This window comes from Homo sapiens, chromosome 6 (assembly GCF_000001405.40).
Source record: "Homo sapiens chromosome 6, GRCh38.p14 Primary Assembly".
Lineage (NCBI taxonomy): Eukaryota > Metazoa > Chordata > Mammalia > Primates > Hominidae > Homo > Homo sapiens.
This window is the reverse complement of record NC_000006.12, coordinates 33,248,614-33,272,055: the sequence shown is the minus strand read 5'-3', so window position 1 is coordinate 33,272,055 and position 23,442 is coordinate 33,248,614. Positions and strand designations below refer to the sequence as shown.

The window sequence follows — 23,442 nt, the reverse complement described above, 5'->3', positions numbered from 1 at the left end:
CATTATATAGCTTCCAGGAGGAAGAGGCGGTGCGATCTAGGAGAAGTGCTTCCGGAAACTGTTTCAGCGCGACCTGGCTGGATTTATGAGAGTATGGCTTGGGTACCACAACTTCCGGTGCGCCTTTCTTTACAGTTCGTAAGGTTCATAGGTAAGAGAACAGCGAAGGTTCCGGGGCTAGTTTGTGTTTCAGACTTCCATATTTCCATTTGCAGTTGGGTGAAGTGGTTAGAGCTGAAAGGGGACAGCTGGAGTCAAACAACTTAACTCAAATATCTGGGAACGATTTCGCGCTGAGGAAGACCCTTTGGGACTTGTAGCTCCACTCCGGGGAACGGACTCGCCGGGACTGACAGTTGCCGGAAGTGAGGCTGCGGGGAATGGCCGCCGCTGCGACCATGGCGGCTGCGGCCCGGGAACTGGTGTTGCGGGCTGGGACCTCAGATATGGAGGAGGAAGAGGGCCCGCTGGTGAGAGCGCGGAGCTGTTTCTCCTCCGTAGTTCCGGTGCTCCTAGCTTCAGAAAGACCTGAGCTGGGTTTAGGCACAAGGGTGGGAACTTGGCTGCTACCCGTGATATTACCTGTTTGGCTCCCCGTACCCTTCCCTGTGATCAGACCCGACCCTGAGCGGGACCCTAGTGGCTGAAACTCATGTTCTGGGGCACAAAATTTCAACTTCACTCCACATTTTGGGGTAGAGTCACGAAGTAGTATAGTGTAAAGGTTAAGAACATGGCCTCTGAAGCCAGACTGCCTGAGTTCTATCTCTGCCACTTACACGCTGTGTGCCCTTGGGCAAGTTAACCAGCTTCTCTGTGCCATCATTTCTCACACCTTTAAGGTGAGGAAGATAGAACCTATTGTATACATCGTCGTTAGGATTAGATGAATATGTGTAAGATTGCACCTGGCATGCAGGTAAACACTATGTGTTTTGACATTTCTAGAAAGCCTGGGGTTCCCCAGAGGTGTGATAGAACACCCAAGATGGCAGGAGTCTGAGGGTCTTAAATTTAAGTGCAAGTTCTGCTCTATCCTCTGCAATTCCTAGCTTTCCTCATTCGGTCATCTCCACTGCACTTTTTTTTTTTTTTTTTTTTTTTTGAGACGGAGTCTTGCTCTGTCGCCCAGGCTGGAGTGCAGTGGCGCGATCTTGGCTCACTGCAAGCTCCACCTTCCGGGTTCACGCCATTCTCCTGCCTCAACCTCCCAAGTAGCTGGGACTACAGGCGCCCGCCACCGCGCCCGGCTAATTTTTTGTATTTTTTAGTAGAGACGGGGTTTCACTGTGTTAGCCAGGATGGTCTCGATCTCCTGACCTCGTGATCTTCCCACCTCGGCCTCCCAAAGTGCTGGGATTACAGGCGTGAGCCACTGCGTCCGGCCTCCACTGCACTGTCTTGTCTTTTACCTTTTTTTGTTTTCTTTAGACGGGTTTCCCTGTGTTACCCAGGTTGACCTTGAACTCCTGATCTCCTCAAACAATCTTCCCGTCTCAGCTTCTAAGTAGTTGGGACTACAAGGAGCCCACCACCATGCTGGGCTACCTCCACTGTCTCACTGGATCGTCTCACTCCTTGTCGTATTCCTTACCCATCAGCACAAAATAGGAGAGTGGGTACAACGTGAGACTCTTAGAATTTTTCAAAGCAGTACCTGTGGCTCCCAGTAAAAGCAGCTCCTTCTCACTTGAAGGACTGGGGATATCCAATTATATTTTTTCTTTCTGTCTTTCACCGTACCCTACTCCCATTAACTTATCCCTTTCCAGGCGGGTGGTCCTGGGCTCCAGGAACCACTGCAACTTGGGGAGTTGGATATCACTTCTGATGAATTCATCCTGGATGAAGTGGATGGTAAGCGATGGCATGGGGTGGGTGCAGTACCTGTAATCTGAGAGGCATGGGGGCTGGAAGGAATAAGGTAGGGATTGGTGTGCAGATACTCAATGTGGGGAGAGGGAGCTGTGGAGCTGGACCCTTATGATAAACTTCTATTTCCAGTTCACATTCAGGCAAATCTGGAGGATGAGTTAGTAAAGGAAGCTCTTAAAACGGTGAGGCTTTCCCCTGTACTAATCTGCCCTTCTATCTATTCTACCCCAAAAGGAAAAACAACAGTCTCTTGCTTTTGTTGTATCAGCCTGGTATCTGACCCTTTAGTCCTTCACTGATTCTGTTACAGTGTCCCTTTACTGAGACTTCCTTCTGACCTGTCATCTTTATGTTCTCCCAGGGTGTAGATCTCCGTCACTATTCAAAGCAAGTTGAGCTGGAGCTACAGCAGATTGAACAGAAATCCATTCGGGATTGTATCCTCCAGCAGAGGGAAGGGGTGGTGCTATTGACATGGGGATTTTGTGGCGTGTGGTACAGATGTCCCAGCTGGGGTCAACATCTCTGAGGTTTCTATCACTTCAAAGAGAAATTGGAGAGGTACTACAAATCTGAGGATCTCCCATCTTCACCATGAGGCCCCTTGACTTTTTGTGGATCAGATATTCAAGAGAGTGAGAATATAGCATCTCTACACAACCAGATCACAGCCTGTGATGCTGTCCTGGAGGTTAGTAATCATGACCTGTGACCCCTAATAGCTACTCTGAACCAGATCATGGACTCTGGTGCCATTTTTAGGTCATCAGCCTCAAGATGGGGACAGGTTAGGGTCATTTTCAAGATGACTTCAGGAGCCTTTTTTGTTATTACTGCCATATTTAATGTTATTTCCTGATAATCTGGGGTGTCTCATCATCTGCCACCCTCAAGGACTGATAAATACTGAAGACTTCACAAAGAGTCTTTGGTGGCCCACTTATCCCCTACAAACCCTATAGCACTCCGGCAACATCTACCCTCCCTACAGCGAATGGAGCAGATGTTGGGAGCTTTTCAGAGTGACCTCAGCTCCATCAGCTCTGAGATCCGGACACTGCAGGAACAGTCAGGAGCCATGAACATTCGACTTCGAAATCGCCAGGCAGTTCGGGGGAAACTTGGGGAGCTTGTTGATGGTCTGGTGGTGCCTTCTGCTCTGGTCACGTGAGTTACCAGTTTGAAGGGTTATAATGTCCATAGCAGGTGGATGGGCTGGGGTGACCCACCCTATTTACCATATGGGTCTCCTGGCTCCAGGTTAAGTGCTTTTTAGAAATTAGTAGCCAGGTTAACCACCATTTCTTTAGGTATGCATTAGGCATCAAAGATTAAGATTAAGAATGATGTAAGATCAGGTGTATAGTGGGGAGGTCCAGGAATAGAAAACTTTGTACATGTGTCCTGACTATATGGTACAATGCAAGGTGGTAGAGATGACAGGGGCTGGAGGTAAGGAGTGTGGTCTGGGTCTGGTTTAGGGATGTCTGGGTCTCCCTTGTAACTCATCCCACCCCTCCCTGCTAACCAGGGCAATTCTGGAGGCTCCAGTGACAGAGCCCAGGTTCTTGGAGCAGCTACAGGAGCTGGATGCCAAGGCAGCCGCAGTCAGAGAGCAGGAAGCTAGAGGCACAGCAGCCTGCGCAGATGTCAGAGGCGTGCTCGATCGGCTCCGGGTCAAGGTGGGAAGTAGGGATGGATACCCTGGAGGCTACTGGAAGCAGCCTTCCCAAGATCTTCACTATGGATTTCCTTGGCAGAGCTCACTGTAGCCTGTCTCCAGGGACTTCACCCTGCCTTTTCTGGGCAGCCCCATTCTTGTCTCTCTGGGTTTCCCTGAAAATCTTGAGAAATACCAAAGAGATATTCACCACCCTTCTGCCTATGTTTACCATTTGTTGCTTCCCCCAGTTCCTCTCATACAGCAAAAGGGTTGCAGCTTCATGCCCTGTGTTTGGTTCCCCACATCTAGGCAGTGACGAAGATCCGAGAGTTTATCCTCCAGAAGATTTATTCCTTCAGGAAACCCATGACCAACTATCAGATCCCCCAGACGGCCCTGCTGAAGTACAGGTCACAACCCCAAGGAAGTGCATGGGATGGCCTTTGAGTTTTTGAGCGGCCTAGTGTGGGCATCTGGTTTCTTGGGAGACAGGTAGACTGACATGTTCCTGACCCCCTAGGTTCTTCTATCAGTTTCTGCTGGGCAATGAACGAGCAACAGCAAAGGAGATCAGGGATGAATATGTGGAGACGCTGAGCAAGATTTACCTGTCTTACTACCGCTCTTACCTGGGGCGGCTCATGAAGGTGCAGGTAAGGTCAGGAGGGAGAGGTATTCCTGGGCACATGGACTGGGAGGAGGGGACATCCCTGGGCAAGGAATATTTTATTGTGTTGTGGGAAGAGACGGTTATCAGTTCTCTTTTCTCTTTCCTTAGTATGAGGAAGTCGCTGAGAAAGATGATCTAATGGGTGTGGAAGATACAGCAAAGAAAGATATCCTAGTACTGGGGAACCCTCATGCCAGGCCTTGAGAGTGGGAGGACTTTCGACTCCAGCCACCAATGCACTGCTCCTTACCTTTTCCTATGGGACTGAAACCTTTTAGAATGTGATGAAAGCTATAGCCTCCCTCCCCAGAAAGATGCACACATTATTTTGACACATAGTTTTGCATATGATTGCAAGGGAGGGAGAGACACCCTGAAGCCCATTCACAGATGTCAGCACGTGGGGCCCTAGTACTGGGAAAGAGGGCTGGCTAGGCCACGTCTGCCTGTCTGGGGTCCCCACAGATAGTGAGTCTTTGGGCCCAGTTATGGTCTCATTGTTTTCCCTGACTCTGACCCATCTTACGATTCTTCTCAAAGCCATCGCTCCGCAGCAGGAACACCATTTTCACCCTAGGAACCCGCGGCTCTGTCATCTCCCCCACTGAACTTGAGGCCCCCATCCTGGTGCCTCACACAGCGCAGCGCGGAGAGCAGAGGGTATGAGGAGGAACAAGCTTCAGTCACGAAAGAGGCTCTGAGCACGGTGGGGAGGGAAGGCCAGACCTCAGGGCAGAGCTTCCCAACCTGCAGGCCCTGTCTTAATCCCCTTAGACTTGGGAGTGGCCTTCTCCAATCACTCCAGCCTGCTGTGATGTGAAAAGAGCTGGGAACCATTGACTTAAGGGCATGCAGAGGGGAGAGACTGGATGAGGGGAATGACAGTCAGAGGCAGGTGTTGAGGTGGATGCAGGAGTAGCAACAGCAGGTGGGTGTAGGCCCTTTTTGTACCCCTATGTTCCCCCACCTTTTCAGTGCCCATTCAGCTTGCTCTTAGACAGCCCGGACCTAGATAGATGCGAAGGGTCTGCCTAGCTCTTATTACTCAGGTTTACTGATTTTCCAGCCATATCCATGGGAAGTCAGTGTTGGGGTCCATCCCTTCTGTTTTTCTTCTTTACTCCTCCTCTCCCAGTATCCATTTGAGGCCCTCTTCCGCAGCCAGCACTACGCCCTCCTAGACAATTCCTGCCGCGAATACCTTTTCATCTGTGAATTTTTTGTTGTGTCTGGCCCAGCTGCACACGACCTGTTCCATGCTGTCATGGGCCGTACACTCAGCATGACCCTGGTAAGACTCCTGTTTCCTGTACCATTCAACACCTTTGTCCCCAGTCTTCATCAGCAGCATAGTGGGGTCATGACTCTGGTAGAACTGAAATCAGGATCGCCTCATTCTAAAATGTCTAAGCCTTGGCTGGGCGTGGTAGTGCACACCCATAATCCCAGCACTTTGGGAGTCCAAGGCAGTAGGATTGCCTGAGCTCAGGAGTTTGAGACCAGCCTGGGCAACAACCTCATCTCTACAAAAAATGAAAAATTAGCCGGGTGTGTGTTGATGTGTGCCTGTGGTCACAGCTACTAAAGATGCTGAGGTGGAAGGATTGCTTGAGCCCAGGAGGTCAAGGCTGCAGTGAGCCATGCACTCCAGAGTGAGACCTGTCTCAAAAAAAAAAAAAAAAAAAAATAGCCAGGTGCAGTGGCTTACGCCTGTAATCCCAGCACTTTGGGAGGCTGAGGCGGGAGGATCACAAGGTCAGGAGTTTGAGACCAGCCTGACCAACATGATGAAACCCTGTCTCTACTAACAGTACAAAAATTAGCCAGGTGTGCGCGGCCTGTAATCCCAGCTACTCGGGAGGCTGAGGCAGGAGGATTGCTTGAACCTGGGAGGAGGAGATTGCAGTGAGCCAAGATTGCGCCATTGCACTCCAGCCTGGGTGACAGAGCGAGACTCCATCTCAAAAAAAAAACTTGTTACTTAGACTTGTCACAGTGTTACTCCCCCATGAAATCCTCAGTGCGTAGGGTCCCTGAGACTACCCCTACTGCTGACCCACAATCAGGCAATAGCACGTGAAAACTGAGGGTCCCCCAAATCTTGGTGCTCAAACCCCTGACCCAAGCTCAGCCCTGAACTCTGCTGTGATAGGCTTGTGATCATAGATCCTGGTGTGGCCAGGTGCAGTGGCTTATGCCTGCAATCCCAGTACTTTGGGAGACCAAGGCAGGAAGGTTGCTTGAGGCCAGGAGTTCGAGACCAGCCTGGGCAATGCGGCAAGACCTTGTCTCTACAAAAAATTTAAAAATAAACTTAACCAGGCATGGTGGTACACACCCATGGTCCCAGTTGCTTGGCAGGCTGAGGTGGGAACATCACTTGAGCCCAGATGTTTGAGGCTGCAGTGAACTATGATTGTACCATTACAATCCAGCCTAGGTGACAAAACAACCTGTCTCTAAAGCCGAAAACACCGGGTGCAGTGGCTCACACCTGTAATCCCAGCACTTTAGGAGGCTGAGGTGGGCGGATCGCCTGAGGTCAGGAGTTCGAGACCAGCTTGACCAACATGATGAAACCCCATCTCTACTAAAATACAAAAATTAGTCGGGCGTGGTGGCAGGCGCCTATAATTCCAGCTACTCAGGAGGCTGAGGCAGGAGAATTGCTTGAACCTGGGAGGCAGGCGGAGGTTGCAGTGAGCCGAGATTGTGCCACTGCATTCCAGCTTGGGTGGCAAGAGTGAAACTCTATCTCAAAAAACAAAAAAAAAGCCAAAAACATAGATCCTGGACAGGAAAGCAGGGGGCAGTTCCATTTTACGTCTCTCCCTTCTGTCCTGTCCAGTGCATCATCCCCAAAGAAACAAATGCGTTTGTTCATAGTCACTGAGGACAACAAACTGACATTCTCTTTTAATCCTCTGTTTGTTCCCCAATCACACAGAAACACCTGGATTCTTATCTAGCTGACTGCTACGATGCCATTGCTGTTTTTCTCTGTATCCACATTGTTCTCCGGTTCCGTAACATTGCAGCAAAGAGGGATGTTCCTGCCCTGGACAGGTCACTGAATTCTGGTCCTTGATGCCCAACAGGCCACGAACTCTCTTGGTCTTGCATGACTCTGCCCTGACCTTAGACTCCTACTGACCTGGTATCATCAACCTTTATTCCCATTCATTTGCTCCGGAGGCAGTAGTGCTGCTTTTTGACTCACCTTTCTCCAACCACTGCCCCCCAACCCCCACAACTAGCTATTGACCATTAAACTGAATGATGCCCCACTCCCTCCCATCCCCCTCCAACATTCCTTGCTGGCTGACCTCTGATTCTGATTAAGCCCACAGGTACTGGGAACAGGTGCTTGCCTTGCTATGGCCACGGTTTGAACTGATCCTGGAGATGAATGTTCAGAGCGTCCGAAGCACTGACCCCCAGCGCCTAGGGGGGTTGGATACTCGGCCCCACTATGTGAGGGAGGGCAAGGGTAACAAAGGGTTCTTGAAAGGCAGGGCTCTAAGCATCATTGTGGGGGTTGGCCAAGGTCACAGTTGTGTCATGGGCCACGCTATGAGCAGGTGTTCTGGGAGGGTGGTGAAACTCATGGTGAGTGGTGCACTGTGGGTAGGAGGGACTGAAGGTAGAGTCACATCACATGGAGGTGGGTTGGCTAAGGAAGTTGGGAGGTTGTGTTGGTTGGGCCAGGAGGTGGGTGTGATTTTCCTTCCCACTCTCTCCTAGATCACACGCCGCTATGCAGAGTTCTCCTCCGCTCTTGTCAGTATCAACCAGACAATTCCTAATGAACGGACCATGCAATTGCTGGGACAGCTGCAGGTGAGGGTCGGACAGGAGACACTTCCCAGCAGCAGGGCTGCTTCCAGTGGGTGGAGTCTGAGGAGGAGCCAGATGGGGCCCAGATGACCTTGCTTTCTGGTGTCACCTCTTCCTCTCTGCCTTTTCAGGTGGAGGTGGAGAATTTTGTCCTCCGAGTGGCAGCTGAGTTCTCCTCAAGGAAGGAGCAGCTTGTGTTTCTGATCAACAACTATGACATGATGCTGGGTGTGCTGATGGTAATAGGTGCTCCTTCTCCTTGCCTTCCTACCCAGAAAATTCGGTTTCCCCCACTGCTGTTAGCTCTGTGAGGGCAGAGATGATGCCTGTCTTGTTCAGTGTTTTACTCTTGGAGTCTGGCACAGTGTCCAGCTTAGTACAATAAGTGTGGAATGAAGGGGACATCCTGAAGTGAAGGACTGCTTTCCCCAAACTAGACATTTCCCTTTGTCTTCCCTTAGGAGCGGGCTGCAGATGACAGCAAAGAGGTTGAGAGCTTCCAGCAGCTGCTCAATGCTCGGACACAGGTAGGGGTGTGGGGAAAAGGGAAGAGACAGCCTTCTGTGCTGTTTTCAGCTCTCTCTCTCTCTCTCTCTGTGTGTGTGTGTGTGTGTGTGTGTGTGTGTAGGGAGTGGCATAATGGATCTCAGGTATGCGGAATTACTGTAACTCTTGATTCACAACATACTGTCATTATTGGTCTATTTTATTTTATTTTGTCTTTGGTTTTTTTTTTTTTTTTTTTTTGAGGCAAAGTGTCACTCTGTCACCCAGGCTGGAGTGCAGTGGCATGAACATGGCTCACTGCAGCCTCAACAGCCTGGGCTTAAGTGATCCTTCTACCTTAGCCCCCTGGGTAGCTGGGACCACAGGTGCGAGCCACCATGCCTAGCTAATTTTTTATTTTTAGAATGAATTTTATTTTTTTCTTTATCTATCCTCTCAAGCATTTATCCTTTGTGTTATAAACAATCCGATTACACTAAGTTATTTTAAAATGTACAATTAAGTTATAATTGACTATAGTCACCCTGTTGTGCTGTCAAATAGTAGGTCTTATTTATTCTTCCTATTTTTGTTTGTACCCATTAATCATCCCCACCTTCTCCCCAGCCTTCCACTAGCCTTCCCAGCCTCTGGTAGCCATCCTTCTACTCTCTTCGTACATGAGTACATGAGTTCAATTGTTTTGATTTTTAGATTCCACGAATCAGTGAGAACACATGACGTTTGTCTTTCTGTGCCTGGCTTATTTCACTTAATATAATAATTTCCAATTCTATGCATGTTGTTGCAAATGACTGAGTCTCATTCTTTTTTATGGCTGAGTAGTACTCCATTGTGTATATATCCCACATTTTCTTTACCCATTCATCTGTTGATGGACACTTAGGTTGCTTCCAAATCTTAGCTATTGTGAACAATACTGCAACAAACATGGGAGTGCAAATATCTCTTCAATGTACTGATTTCCTTTCTTTTGGGTATATACCCAGCAGTGGGATTGCTGAATCATATGGTAGCTCTACTTTTAGTTTTTTGAGCAACCTTCAAACTGTTCTCCAAAGTGTTTGTACTAATCTACATTCCCACCAACAGTGTATAAGGGTTCCCTTTTCTCCACATCCTTGCCAGCATTGCTATTGCCTGTCTTTTGGATAAAAGCCATTCTGACTGGAGTGAGATGAGATCTCATTGTAGTTTTGATTTGTATTTCTCTGATAATAGTGATGGTGAGCCCCTTTTCATATATGTCTGTTTGCCATTTGTATTCTTTTGAAAAATATCTATTCAAATCTTTTGCCCATTTTTTAATAGGATTATTAGACTGTCATGTAGAGTTGTTTGAGCCCCTTATATATTCTGGTTATTAATCCCTTGGCAGATGGGATGTGCAAATATTCTTTGTCTCTTCACTTTATTGTTTCTTTAGCTGTGCAGAAGCTTTTTTTTTTTTTTTTTTTTTTTTTGAGATGGAGTTTTGTTCTTGTTGTCCAGGCTGGAGTGCGATGGTGCGATCTCAGCTCACCGCAACCTCCGCCTCCCAGGTTCAAGCAATTTTCCTGCCTCAGCCTCCTGAGTAGCTGTGATTACAGGCATGTGCCACCATGCCTGGCTAATTTTGTATTTTTAGTAGAGATGGGGTTTCACCATGTTGGTCAGGCTGGTCTCAAACTCCTGACCTCAGGTGATCTGCCCAGCTCTGTCTCCCAAAGTGCTGGGATTACAGGCGTGAGCCACCGTGCCCAGCTGTGCAGAAGCTTTGTAACTTGACGTGATCCCATTTGGCCATTTTTGCTTTGGTTGCCTGTGCTTGTGGGGTATGGCTCAAGAAATTTTTGCCCAGACCCGTGTCTTGGAGATTTTCCCCAGTGTTTTCTTGTAGTAGTTTCATAATTTGGTCTTAGATTTAAGTCTTTAATCCATTTGATTTGGTTTTCATATGTGGCGAGAGATAGGGGTATAGTTTCATTCTTCTGTGTAATGGATAGCCAGTTTTCCCAGCACCATTATTGAAGAGACTATCTCTCTTTTTTTTTTTTTCAGACGGAGTCTTGCTCTGTCACCTAGGCTGGAGTGCAGTGGTGCAGTATTGGCTCACTGCAACCTCTGCCTCCTTGGTTCAAGTGATTCTCCTGCCTCAGCCTCCTGAATAGTTGGGATTACTGATGCCTGCCACCACGCCGGGCTAGTTTTTGTGTTTTTAGTAGAGACGGGATTTCACCATGTTAGCCAGGCTTGTCTTGAACTCCTGACTTCAAGTGATCCTCCCACCTGGGCCTCCCAAGTGCTGGGATTACAGGCGTGAGCTACCGTGCCTGACCAAGAGACTATCTTTTCCCCAGTGTATGTTCTTGGCACTTTTACCAAAAATGAGTTTACTGTAGGTGTGTGCCAGCTAATTTTTTAATTTTGTAAAGACAGTTGTCTTTACAAAAGACAACTGTTGCCTGGGCTGGTCTTGAATTACTGCCCTCAAGTGAAAAATCTTATGATTCTTTTTTTTTTTTAAAGACGGAGTCTCACTCTGACTCCCACACTGGAGTGCAGCGATACGATGTCAGCTCACTGCAACGTCCGCCTCCCAGGTTAAGTGATTCTCCTGCCTCAGCCTCTGAGTAGCTGGGACTGCAGGCACGTGCCACCATGTCCAGCTAATTTTTGTATTTTTAGTAGAGATGGGGTTTCACCATGTTGGCCCAGCTGGTCTTAAAACTCCTGACCTCAGGTGATTCACCCGCCTCAGCCTCCCAAAGTGCTGGGATTATAGGCATGAGTCACTGCACCCGGCCTAGATTCTGTTTTTAATGACACTGGAAAACAACGAATTTTTGTTTTGGCATATATATAGCTTTACTTTTAAAAGCAAGAACACACACAAAAAAAGGGGGAAAAAAGCAAGAACACAATAAATGCAACATTTAGATCAACGAGTACCTGTGCACGAGAAGCACAGGGATGGTTTCAGTAGGATTTCATAGTTTGATGGTGACTTTTGCCAAGCTGCTGCTACTTGGATTGTGTGGTGTGTTTGTGAGTGTTTATATCATTAAAAAACAAAACAGCCACTGCACTGGGTTGTTTTATTTTTTAATGATATAAACACTGATGAGACAAGGCAAGAAAACAGCAAGGCAAAAAAGAAAAAAAAAAAAGCCAGGCATGGTGGTATGCACCTGTAGTTCTAGCTATTTGGGAGACAAAGGCGAGAGGACCACTTTGAAATCCAGGAGTTCGAGATTACAGCGAGCCATGATCATGACATTGTAGTCTACCCTTGGCAACACAGCAAGACCCTGTCTCAAACAGCAAAACAAAACAAAAAACCCCAGAATCACAGGATTTTTTTCATGCATAATTTTTCTAATATTGTCATGTTATTGCATATGGCTATAGCTCATTCCTTTTCACTGCCATATATGACTTGTGTGATTAAACATATTCTATAAATGGATTGTTTCCAGTTTCTTGCTTCTGTGAGCATTGTTTTATGAATAATCATGTCTTTTAGCACACATAGATATTGATTATCTTCATCAAAAGTTTCTCTTGGGTATAAACCTAGGACAGTAGTCTTGCTGCTAATAAGATATGCAGTATTAGTCTTTATGAGACAATGATAAATTGTTTTCCTAAGTAGTTCCTTCTCACCAGCAATATGTAAGAATTCCTACTGAGCCACATTTTCTCCAACATGTGGTATTATCAGGTCTTTGCCATTTTTTTTCTTTTTTTTTTTAGAGACCAAGGATGCTGCTAAAGATGCTCGGGATCAGAAATGTTTCAGATTTTGATTTTTTTCGGATTTTGGATTCCTTGCATTATTTTTACTGGTTAGCATCTGTAGTCTGAAAATCTGAAATCTGAAATGCTCCAAAGAGCATTACCTTTGAGCATCATGTTGATACTCAAAAACTTCCGGATTTTGGAGCATTTTGGATTTCAGATTATTGGATTAGGGATACTCAACCTGTATTTCAGTGGGTTTTATTTGTAATTTTCTGATTACTAATAACATTGAGCATCATTTCAAATGTTTAGTAACTATATGTAGGGGTTCAGTCAGGCTGGTGGGAAAAATATTAGTGATGATAGCCACAAACCCTCTTGGAAGGCCTAAGAGTTTGCATAACTTCAGTAATAGATATGGTTGAAGGCGACCTGATCTTTACCTTTAGTTAAATAAATTAGAGTAATAACAAAGGAATGTGGGGAAGTTATCTAGGTAGCTTGTTTACTCATATGGTCTTAAGACTAATCTTTGATGTACCGCAGGTGCTTAACTGCTTTCTACTCAGGAAGTCCACAATGTCAGTTACCCCGTAGTGGTGTTGACTCAAGTCTTTGTCAATTAATCTTTACTGAATAAATGCGAGTCTCACTAGCTGGTCAGGGCCGCCATTGCAACTGTTTACAGTACTCTTCAGGGAGTCTGTAAACAGCCTGGACACACTCAGCTGGACTGGCAAAGCAGAGTATCTGTGTGTCAGTGTACCTCATTCATCCGTTGCCGGGTCAGGGGTCTGCAAGGGACAGACTCCCTGAAGCTGGTGCTCTGTGTGAGGAGCGTCACCACAACTATACAATTTTTTTTTTTCCTGTAAAATGGCTGTCATAGCATTTGACCTTTTAAAAATCGGCTTGTGGCTGGGCAGGGTGTACACCTGTAATCCCAGCACTTTGGGAGGCTGAGGCGGATGGATCAGTTGAGGCCAGTAATTCAAGACCAGCCTGGCCAGCATGGCAGAACCCTGTCTCTACTAGAAGTACAAAAATTAACCAGGCATAGTGGCGCATGCCTGTAGTCCCAGCTCCTCAGGGGCGCTGAACCTGGGAGGCGGAGGTTGCAGTGAGCCAAGATTATGCCACTGCACTCCAGCCTCAGTTACAGAGCGTGACTCTCTCAAAAAATAAAGAAAAAAATAAGTCTGCTAGTATTTTTTATTTATAAGAGTTCTTTGCATCATCTACATACTAATCTTGTTGATTATACGTAGGTTACAGATTATCTTTTAGTATGTATCTTTTTACTTTTTTTTTTTTTTTTGGTGAGATGAGGGTCTTTCTGTGTTGCCCAGGCTCCTGGGCTCAAGAAATCCTTGCACCTTTTTTTTTTTTTTTTTGAGATGGAGTTTCACTCATGTTGCCGAGGCTGGAGTGCAATGGTGTGATCTCAGCTCACTGCACCTCTGCCTCCCGGGTTCAAGCACTTATCCTTTCTCAGCCTCCTGAGTAGCTGGGATTACAGGCGTGTGCTACCACGCCCGGCTAATTTTTGTATATTTAGTAGAGATGGGTTTTGCCATGTTGGCCAGGCCAGTCTTGAACGCCTGACCTCAGGTGATCCATCCGCCTCAGCCTCCCAAAATGCTGGGATTACAGGCATGAGCCACCGCGTCCAGCCTTTGTTTTTTTAATGTTGCTTTTTGATTAAAGAAATTTGTAATTTTAATATGATTGAATTTATCTGTCCTTCATTTTTATGTCTTTGTTTTTAGTAACAGTCTTGCTCTGTCACCCAAGCTGGAATGCAGTAGTGTGATCATGGCTCACTGTAGCCTCAACCTCCTGGGCTCAGGCAACCCTCCTCCCTCAGCCTCCCAAGTAACTAGGACTACAGGTGTGTGCCATATGCCCAGCTAATTTTTGTTGTTGTTGTTGTTTTGTAGAGACAGAGTCTCACTATGTTGCCCAGGCTGGTCTCAAACTCCTGGCCTCAAGTGATCCTCCCGCATCAGCCTCCCAAAGTGCTGGGCTTACAGCCACCATCTACCACGCCTGACTATTTTTGTCCTGTTTAAGAAATTCCTGGGCTGGGTGTGGTGGCTCACGCCTGTAATCCCAGTACTTTGGGAGGCTGAGGCGGGTGGATTACGAGGTCACGGGATCGAGACCATCCTGGCCAACATGGTGAAACCTCGTCTCTACTAAAAATACAAAAAAATTAGCTGGGCGTGGTGATGCGTACCTGTAGTCCTAGCTACTCATGAGGCTGAGGCAGGAGAATCACTTGAACCAGGGAGGTGGAGGATGCAGTGAGCCAAGATCGTGCCACTGCACTCCAGACTGGTGATAGAGTGAGACTCCGTTTAAAAAAAAAAAAAATGAAATTCCTTATTACTCCAAGGCCAGAAAAATATTATGCTACATTTTCTTCTTAATATTGTAGAATTTTGGCCAGGTGCAGTGGCTAAAGCCTGTAATCCCAGCACTTTGGGAGGCCAAGGCAGGAAGATTGCTTGAAGCCAGGAGTTTGAGACCAGCCTAGGCAGTATAGTGAGACCTCATCTCTACAAAAAATTAAAAAAATATATTAGCCAAGCATAGTGGCACACACCTGTAGTCTCTGCTACTCAGGTAGCTGAGGTGGGAGGATCACTTGAGCCTGGGAGGTCGAGGCTGCAGTGAGCCCTGTTTGTGCTGCTGCACTCCAGCCTGGGCAACAGAGTGAGACCCTGTCTCAAAAAATAATAATAAAATTAAAGAATAAACAAATATATAGAGAGAATTTTTTTGTTACCTTTAAGTCTCAAATTTACTTGGAATTAATTTTTGTGTGTGATGTGAGGTAGGGATCTATTTCTTTTTTTTATGTGGATGGTTGGCCCAGAACCATTTATAGAAAATCTTTTTCTTTTCTTTTTTTTTCTTTTCTTTTTTTTTTTTTTTAGACAGAGTCTCACTCTTGTCACCCAGGCTGGAGTGCAGGGCCACAATCTCAGCGCACTGCAACCTCTGCCTCCTGGGTTCAAGTGATTCTCCTGCCTCAGCCTCCTGAGTAGCTAGGATTACAGGCATGTGCCACCACACCCAGCTAATTTTTGTATTTTTAGTAGAGATGGGGTTTCACCGTGTTGGCTAGGCTGGTCTCGAAAAGTTTTCACATTTTAAAAAGTCTTTAAGGATTTTGATTAGAATTACATTGTCTATAGACTAATTTGGAAGAATTGATACTTTATGATATTGAAACTTCCTATCCATGATCATGATCATGGGCTCCCTATCCTTTTTTTTTTTTTTTTTTTTTTTTTTTTTTTTTTTTTTTTGAGACAGGTTTTGCTCTGTCACTCAGGTTGGAGTGCAGTGGCACAATCATAGCTCACTGCAGCCTTGAATTCCTGGGTTCAAGTGCTTCTCTTGTCTCAGCCTCCCGAGTAGCTAGGACTAGAGGCACACAGCACCACACTTGGCTTTTTTTTTTCTGTAGAGAATACAAAATTTAAAAATTTAATTTTTTGTAGTGTCTCACTAAACTGGGATTACAGATGTGAGCCACTCCACCTGGCCTCCTCCTCCAATTTTTAAGAGAGTCTTTTAATGTCTTTTGATAACCTTTTTAAATTTTCAGCACAAAGACACTGTAAGTCGTTTGCCATATTTTTAGGTGGGTATAATACGTATGTTTAGTTCTACTAGGAATAAATAAATCTTTTCTAGTTTTTTGTCTTTAACATCTTATGTTTTTGATTTCTTATTCTACTGGCTAACACTCCCAGGATGATGTTTAGAAGTTGAACAGAAAGGTGATAGTGAGAACCCTTTTCATATTCCTGATTTTGAAAGAATTGTTGCTGGTGCTGTGGCTCATGCCTGTAATCCCAGCACTTTGGGATGCTGAGATGGGAGAATCTCTTGAGCCCAGGAGTTTGAGAGTTTGAGGGGATCTGCCTGGGCAACATAGTGAGACTCCATTTCTTTTTTTTTTTTTTTTTTTTAGACAGAGTCTCCCTCTGTCTCCCAGGCTGGAGTGGTGCAGTGGTGCAATCTCAGCTCACTGCAAGCTCCGCCTCCCGGGTTCATGCCATTCTTCCTGCCTCAGCCTCCCGAGTAGCTGAGACTACAGGTGCCCAGCACCATGCCCGGTATTTTTTTTGTATTTTGTATTTTTAGTAGAGACGGGGGGTTTCACCATGTTAGCCAGGATGGTCTTGATCTGACCTCGTCATCTGCCCGCCTTGGCCTCCCAAAGTGCTGGGATTACAGGTGTTAGCCACCATGCCCGGCTAAGACCCCATTTCTTTAAAAAAAAAAAAAAAAAAAAAAAAAAGCCAGGCGTAGTGGCATGCATTTGTAGTTCTAGCTGCTTGGGAGGCTGAGGCGGGATCATTGCAGGAGATTAAGGCACCCACAAAGATGCACTTAAACCAGTTGTTTCTGCTGAGAGCAGCTGGGATTTGTCACTGGATTTGCCAGGTATAGAGACTCGCCAGCTGCCATCAATGCTTCTGGTCCTTTTTGGTCAGCTGCTGCTTCATACTACGTAGGAAAGATTGTTAAAGCCCAGTGCACTGTTTCCTCTGGTCACTCCTCTGCTATCAAGGTGTTCTCTTTTGCGTTATAGAAAGCTTAAAGTTCATCTAAGTCCAGACCAGTACTCCTATAGGAATATAATGCATGCCACAAATGTGAGCCACTTAAATAATTTTAAATTTTCTAGAAGCTACATTAAAAAGTAAGGAGAAACAGATGAAATAATTTTTTAAACCACTACATCCAAAATATTATTATTTCAACATATAATCAATAAAAAATAGTACTGAGGCCAGCACGGTGGCTCACACCTGTAATCCCAGCACAGGCCAAGGCAGGGAGGATCGCTTGAGCCCAGGAGTTTGAGACCAGCCTGGACAACATGGTGAAACCCCATCTCTACAAAAAATAAAAAAAAAATGAGTGGGACATGTTGGCACATGCCTGTTAGTCCCAGCTACTCAGGAGGCTGAGGTGGGATAATCACTGAGCCAGGAAAGTTGAGGTTGTAGTGAGCTGTGATTGTGCCACTGCACTCCAGCGTGGGTGATGGAGCAAGACCCTGTTTCCGAAAAAAAAAAAGAAAAAAAAGATATACTTAAAATTTATTCTAAGATGAAGTCTTCAAAATCAGGTGTATATATCATGCTTACAACACATTATATAATTTATGGCTCCTGCCTAGCAGGGGTCATCACTGTTAGTTCAACTTTTCTTTGGCAAGTCTACTCCCTGTGCCCCACCGTACACTGCTACATTATTGTTTGTATATGTGTGTGTGAGACTGCATTTAGGCAACTGTAATAGGTTGAATTTGGTTATTTAATCTCTGTCCAAAATCACATCACAAAGATGCCTTGATTATAGAAAGATCCTTCCTTGCAGCATATTAGTTATTTGACACCCTCAGTGGATATAAGTGAATATTTTGAGGGAAGAATAGAAAAGATACAATTTTTATTTATTTATTTATTTATTTATTTACTGAGACAAGTTGCTGCTCTGTCGCCCAGGCTGGAGTGCAGTGACATGATCTTGGCTCACTACAACCTCTGCCTCCCGGTTCAAGTGATTCTTCTGCTTCAGTCTCCCTGAGTAGCTGGGGTTACAGGCATGCACCACCACACCTGGCTAATTTTAGTATTAATAATTTATTTTTAAATGGAATAATAATTTCACTTTCTTCTTACCAGATCTTTCTGTCTGGGTTGTTTGCTTTTATGAGTTTTTTTGTTTGAATCTCCCTTTTACATTAAACAAAAATTAACATTTTATTATGGGAAATTTCACTATGCTATTAGAAAAGCATAGTGAACCCCCAGGCATCATCAGTGATATTCGGTGTATAGCAGTTCACGGACAGTTTTGTTTCATCTATACCAACACCTATTGCTTATCCTCCTTCTGTGTCCCCCAGTTACTTTGAATTAAATCTTATACATATACAGATGAATATTATCACTTCATCTGTATCAGAATGTTATTTTTATTAAGAAAATTATTTTTGAGATAGGGCCTTGCTGTAGTGCCCAGGCTGGAGTGTAGTAGCATGATATAACTCCCTGCAGCCTCGAACTCCTGGGCTCAAGTGATCCTCCCACCTCAGCCTCCTAAGTAACTGGGACTACAGGTGTGTGCCACCACACCTGGTAACAGATGGTTTTAAAAACTACAATACATTATCACACTTAAAAAAATTATCTTATCTAAAATAACTATTCAGATTTTCCCAGTTATTTCATAAGTGATTTTTTTTTTTTTTTTTTTGAGACACAGTTTCACTCTTGTTGCCTCCAGGCTGGAGTGCAATGGCCCGATCTTGGCACACTCCAACATCTGCCTCCCGGGTTCAAGCAATTCTCCTGCCTCAGTCTCCTGAGTAGCTGGGATTATAGACACCCACCACCACGCCCAGCTAATTTTTGTATTTTTAGTAGAGACAGGATTTCACCATGTTGGCCAGGCTGGTCTCAAACTCCTGACCTCAGGTGATCTACCCGCCTCAGCCTCCCAAAATGCTGGGATTACAGGCATGAGCCACTGTGCCTGGCCTTCATAAATGATTTTTATGGTTCAAATCAGGATCCATATAAAGTCCATATATGTGTCTTTTTTTAGTCTATAGATTTCCCTTCCATCTCCTCTGCAATTTATTTTTGGAAGAAACTGAGTTATTGAGTCATTTGTCATCTAGAATGATGTACAGTTTAGATTTTGCTGACTGCATTCCATGGTGTGGCCAAACTTCCTCTGTCTGGTGTATTTCTCATAAGTGTGTAATTAGATGGAAAGGCTTGGTCAGATTTAAATTAGTTTTTTTTTTTCTACAGGGATATTTGAGAGGTAGTGGTATGTATTTCCATCAGGAAGCACATAATGTCTTCTTGGCTCTCTTTGTGATGTTAGTAGCCATCAATTTCAGTGCCTAGATACATTAATTAGATTTCTGTATCTCCTACTATCTCAAAATTTTCCATCTTCTGTCTGTGCTACATTCTGAGTCCTTTCTTCAGTTATAAATTCTAATTCATTGTATAATTCTTGTTAATCTGTTGACTTTCTAAAACTGGCTTTTCATATCTAAAAAAATTTCCTTTTTTCAAGTCTGTTCATTCCTCATAGTTCTTACTAATTGGTCATTTTTACATCCTTTTTTTTTTTTTTTTTTTTTGAGACGGAGTCTTGCTCTGTCATCCAGGCTGGAGTGCAGTGGCATGATCTCTGCTCACTGCAACCTCCGCCTCCCAAGTTCAAGTGATTCTCTTGCCTCAGTCTCCCGAGTAGCTGGGATTATAGGCATCCACCATCATGCCCAGCTAATTTTTGTATTTTTAGTAGAGATGGGGTTTCATCATGTTGGCCAGGCTGGTCTTGAACTCCTGACCTCAGGTGATCTGCCCACCTCAGCCTCCCAAAGTGCTGGGATTACAGGCGTGAGCCACTGTGCCCGGCCTATCCTTAACTTTAGACATTGCACACAGTACAACTGCTATCCGTATCGGATAGTTCTTAAGGTCAGCAGCTATTGCTTATTGTGTCTGCTGACTCTCTTGGTAGCTGCCCTTCTTTTGTGTCTAGTGATCTTTGAGTTCATTGTTTGATCTTAACCAGGGGAACTGTATGGGCCAAAATTAGGATTGAGGATATTTTTCTCCATAGAGGATTTTCCTTAACTTTTGCAGCAGCTGAAAGATGCCATTCAGATGGATCTACATTAGTCATGATGCCAGAATTGGGCAAATCTGCTGACACCAGGACACCTGTGTATATGTGTTTGTGTCTTTCCAGGAATTCATTGAAGAGTTGCTGTCTCCCCCTTTTGGGGGTTTAGTGGCATTTGTGAAGGAGGCTGAGGCTTTGATTGAGCGTGGACAGGCTGAGCGACTTCGAGGGGAAGAAGGTATGAGGAAAATATGGTAATGATGGGATCAGTGGTAAGGGAAGTGGAAAAGAAAAATGAAAGGATGCAGATTACATGGTGGGGGAATAGAGTATGAAAGACTGGATTGAGAGAATACCAGAAAAGAGGGTTTGATGATAAGGATGGCTATACCTTGGGGAGAACTTAGTGGAGTTGAAGATCAGCCAGATCCCTCTCTGACACTGTTTCCTCCTGCTATTAGCCCGGGTAACTCAGCTGATCCGTGGCTTTGGTAGTTCCTGGAAATCATCAGTGGAATCTCTGAGTCAGGATGTAATGCGGAGTTTCACCAACTTCAGAAATGGCACCAGTATCATTCAGGTGACCTGCAAGTCCCAGGCCCCACTCAGATCCCCCATCATTAATTATTTTCCCCATCTTTTTGCTGGGCTCAGCATCATCTAAGTGACCCTTGGTCTTCAGTTACTAGCTGTGCCCAAAGTTCTGTATGAGCCCTAACCTGATTCTTTTTTTTTTGTTTGTTTTGTTTTTTTTTTGAGACAGAGTCTAGCTCTGTTGTCCAGGCTGGAGTGCAGTGGCACAGTCTCGGCTCACTGCAACCTCTGCCTCCCAGGTTCAAGTGATTTTCCTGCCTCAGCCTCCCAAGTAGCTGGGATTACAGGTGCCTGCCACCACAACCAGCTAATTTTCGTATTTGTAGTAGAGATGGGGTTTCACTGTGTTGGCCAGGCTGGTCTCGAATTCCTGACCTCGTGATCTGCCCGCCATGGCCTCCCACAGTGCTGGGATTACAAGTGTGAGCCACTGCGCCTGGCCGCCTAACCTGATTCTTAATCATCACTATTAGCACCATTTTACGGTTTGATCCCTCAATGACTTTCTTTGACCAGGGAGCGCTGACCCAGCTGATCCAGCTCTATCATCGCTTCCACCGGGTGCTGTCCCAGCCGCAGCTCCGAGCCCTCCCTGCCCGGGCTGAGCTCATCAACATTCACCACCTTATGGTGGAGCTCAAGAAGCATAAGCCCAACTTCTGATGTGCCAGAAACCGCCCTGAGATCTGCCGGTCATCTCCATGGACTTCTGCACCCCATTCCATACCCTTCTTCACCTGGGGTACCCCTTCCAGTTTTCCCCTTGCTTCCCAGGCCCTTGACATGGCTTACCTGCCTTCACTCCCAGCACCTTGCCCAACAGGATAAGCTGGATCCCCTTGGCCTTCTGAATATCCCAGTGTCTTCAGGTTTCCCAAGACCACTTCCCTGTGGGCTTCCAAAATGGCCTTTATCATTTCTCCAGTCTGTCACCCTCCTTTCCTGCTCCCATACACCCAAGGCTTGTTTCTTCCCCTGTAAAAACCACTGCCTCAATCTCTGGTTCACTCAACTAGTCACCATGTCCTGAGGCATGAAGCCTCCTCAGCTCTTGGAATTGCTGGCAAGGGGTGACTGCCTCTGAGTCATTGTGTTTTTCAAAGTGATTTCTTTTCTGTAGCTTTTTGACCTAAGATCTCAGCAATTTGAACACTAACCTCTCCCCTCCTGGCTCAAGAATTACTCCGAAGTCAGTCTGCAGAAAATAAATATTTAGTATGACATGACACTTATCCCATTTCCTTTCTCCTTCCTCCTGAAGGTTTTTCAGGTGGCCCCATCTCTAGAATGACCTTTCCTTTCTGACTACTTCCTGGGCTTACATCCCTTCTGGTGGGTGTAACCTCTAACCTCTAGCTACTCCCAGGCCATTGGAGGAAGGTGGCCCCTGGCTAAAATAGCAGATGCTGCAAGGGATGAGAACCAGGCCGCGCAGCCCCAGACACTGTCCCAAGGGCTCCCTTGGGACAAGCCCAAGCTGACTCTGGAATCCCTCCTCCGTAGCAGCTCCATAGCTCCTCTGGTTGTGGCTGTGACAGCCCCTTGCTCGGGGGCTGCAGCACCCAACCCACACCCACACCGTTGGGGCAGGGCTAGACCAGGCGAAATTCGTACCATCCGTTTGTTTGACTTGGAGCCTTCCTGCTGTCCTCGCCTATACGCCTCGTTTGAACTTAGGCTCTAGACTGGAGAGACACGGGGACCCCTTTAAGGCCTAAGAAGAGAGGCGCAGTTAAGGAAAAATGTTACGTTTCCTGTGTCCTCCACCCCTACGGCCTAAACATTCCCTCCCCAGGTCCCTGGAGAGTGGTGGAAAGCGGTTCCTCCCCGCTTAGGCCCTTCGGATGCAGGTCTAGCCCGTCGGCAACGGGAGGTGTCCTGAGTGGGTCTGTGACTGCCGAGCACACCCGCCGCGGAGCGGAGGCTGCTGCTTCCTGAGGCTGAGAGTGGATCCGGCTCCGGGCTCTCCTAATTGGCGGACGCTGGGGGGCGGCGTGGTAAGGCAGAACGGAGCGGCATCTCAGCTCTCGCCTTTTCAGGGTTCCGCCCCATATCCGAGAGCCGCTCTCTAATTGGCTTGGGAAACCGTATCTCAGCGCTTTGGCCTAGCGACTTTGAACGTGTTTGCGCCTGAGACCGAAGTGCAGAAGAGGGCGAGCGCAGGAGGAGAGGCTTGGTGAATCAGCGATTCCTGATTGGCCAGGCGTGCCTTGAGGGCGGGGCCAGAACTGCGTCCTTAACTGACCTCGCCCTTGCCCAGATCACCGCCTCCGCGTTGCTCCGGGTTTACCCCGCCTGACTCGCTGCGCTATGCGTTCCCTCACGCCTGCCGGATGCCAGGCGGCGATGTGCCAGGCTCTGAGGGGCCGCGAGCTCACCCCAGACGCCGGCCCCGGGAATCCTCTGCTCCTCCACTTTCCCTTCCCGCTACTGGTTTCTTGCCCACCCACTCCCAGGTGTCACTCTTGGGACATCCAGATGTTCTGACATTTGACCTGACTCCAGCCTCAGCGCGAGGACGGGAGAAGGGCCAAGGGTATGAGATTTTGGACAGGAGAGGCATTGGCTACTCTGACAAAGAGCGTGGATTCCCAAAGAAAGGGTCCCCAGATACCCCGCAGGGGAGACTGTCGAGACAGGCGACTTTAGCCAACTAATGCTCGCACGCGAGGAGGGCTGTGCAGGCAGGCACCACGGTTCTTCACAGCCTTCCTTCTTTCCTTCCCCTGTCCGTCGCAGAACCCAAATCCTCAGAGCTGATCGAGAAGCGCGTGTTGTTGCAGAAGTCACTGAGGGGCAGACCTGGAATGTGAGCCGTGGGGCGAAGGGACAGCTCTGGAGACTCGTGATTCCGGAACCCGGTGGGCATTCAAGTGATACTGGAGCACGC

The 23,442-nt window shown here is 46.5% G+C and overlaps 1 protein-coding gene and 1 long non-coding RNA gene across 9 annotated transcripts; one reads left to right on the top strand and one right to left on the bottom strand.

The window, feature by feature from the left end:
• The first annotated feature begins 90 nt into the window (after positions 1-90).
• On the top strand, positions 91-21,784 carry VPS52 (VPS52 subunit of GARP complex). 8 transcript variants are annotated; one of them, NM_001289175.1, is made up of 20 exons: positions 91-151; positions 1,773-1,857; positions 2,005-2,057; positions 2,237-2,312; positions 2,499-2,566; positions 2,867-3,042; positions 3,407-3,557; positions 3,848-3,948; positions 4,059-4,191; positions 4,317-4,374; positions 4,735-4,868; positions 5,344-5,499; positions 7,156-7,274; positions 7,559-7,682; positions 7,953-8,048; positions 8,177-8,284; positions 8,507-8,572; positions 20,085-20,196; positions 20,420-20,538; positions 21,069-21,784. In NM_001289175.1, the coding sequence occupies exons 6-20, from the start codon at positions 2,870-2,872 to the stop codon at positions 21,213-21,215; spliced, it is 1,797 nt and encodes a 598-aa protein (NP_001276104.1). In that variant the 5' UTR covers positions 91-151; positions 1,773-1,857; positions 2,005-2,057; positions 2,237-2,312; positions 2,499-2,566; positions 2,867-2,869; the 3' UTR covers positions 21,216-21,784. The 8 variants fall into 8 exon arrangements, with proteins under 8 accessions (NP_001276104.1, XP_011513101.1, NP_001276105.1 ...); NM_022553.6 differs by lacking the exon at positions 91-151 and adding an exon at positions 180-470 and having other exon boundaries at positions 21,069-21,778; XM_011514799.2 differs by lacking the exon at positions 2,005-2,057.
• HCG25 (HLA complex group 25) lies at positions 17,166-22,520 on the bottom strand. Its single transcript, NR_044997.1, has 5 exons — positions 22,401-22,520; positions 22,167-22,266; positions 21,345-21,440; positions 20,350-20,543; positions 17,166-17,358 (listed from the first exon to the last, which is right to left on the bottom strand). It is a non-coding gene; the product is annotated as an HLA complex group 25 (long non-coding RNA).
• Positions 22,521-23,442: the final 922 nt, after the last annotated feature.

Excerpts from the sequence above, each read along its gene's own strand:
- VPS52 (NM_022553.6), top strand. The coding sequence starts at position 381 with ATGGCCGCCGCTGCGACCATGGCGGCTGCGGCCCGGGAACTGGTGTTG. Across the intron at positions 1,858-2,004 it reads CATCCTGGATGAAGTGGATG|TTCACATTCAGGCAAATCTG; the intron begins GTAAGCGATGGC and ends TTCTATTTCCAG. Across the intron at positions 3,949-4,058 it reads ACGGCCCTGCTGAAGTACAG|GTTCTTCTATCAGTTTCTGC; the intron begins GTCACAACCCCA and ends CTGACCCCCTAG.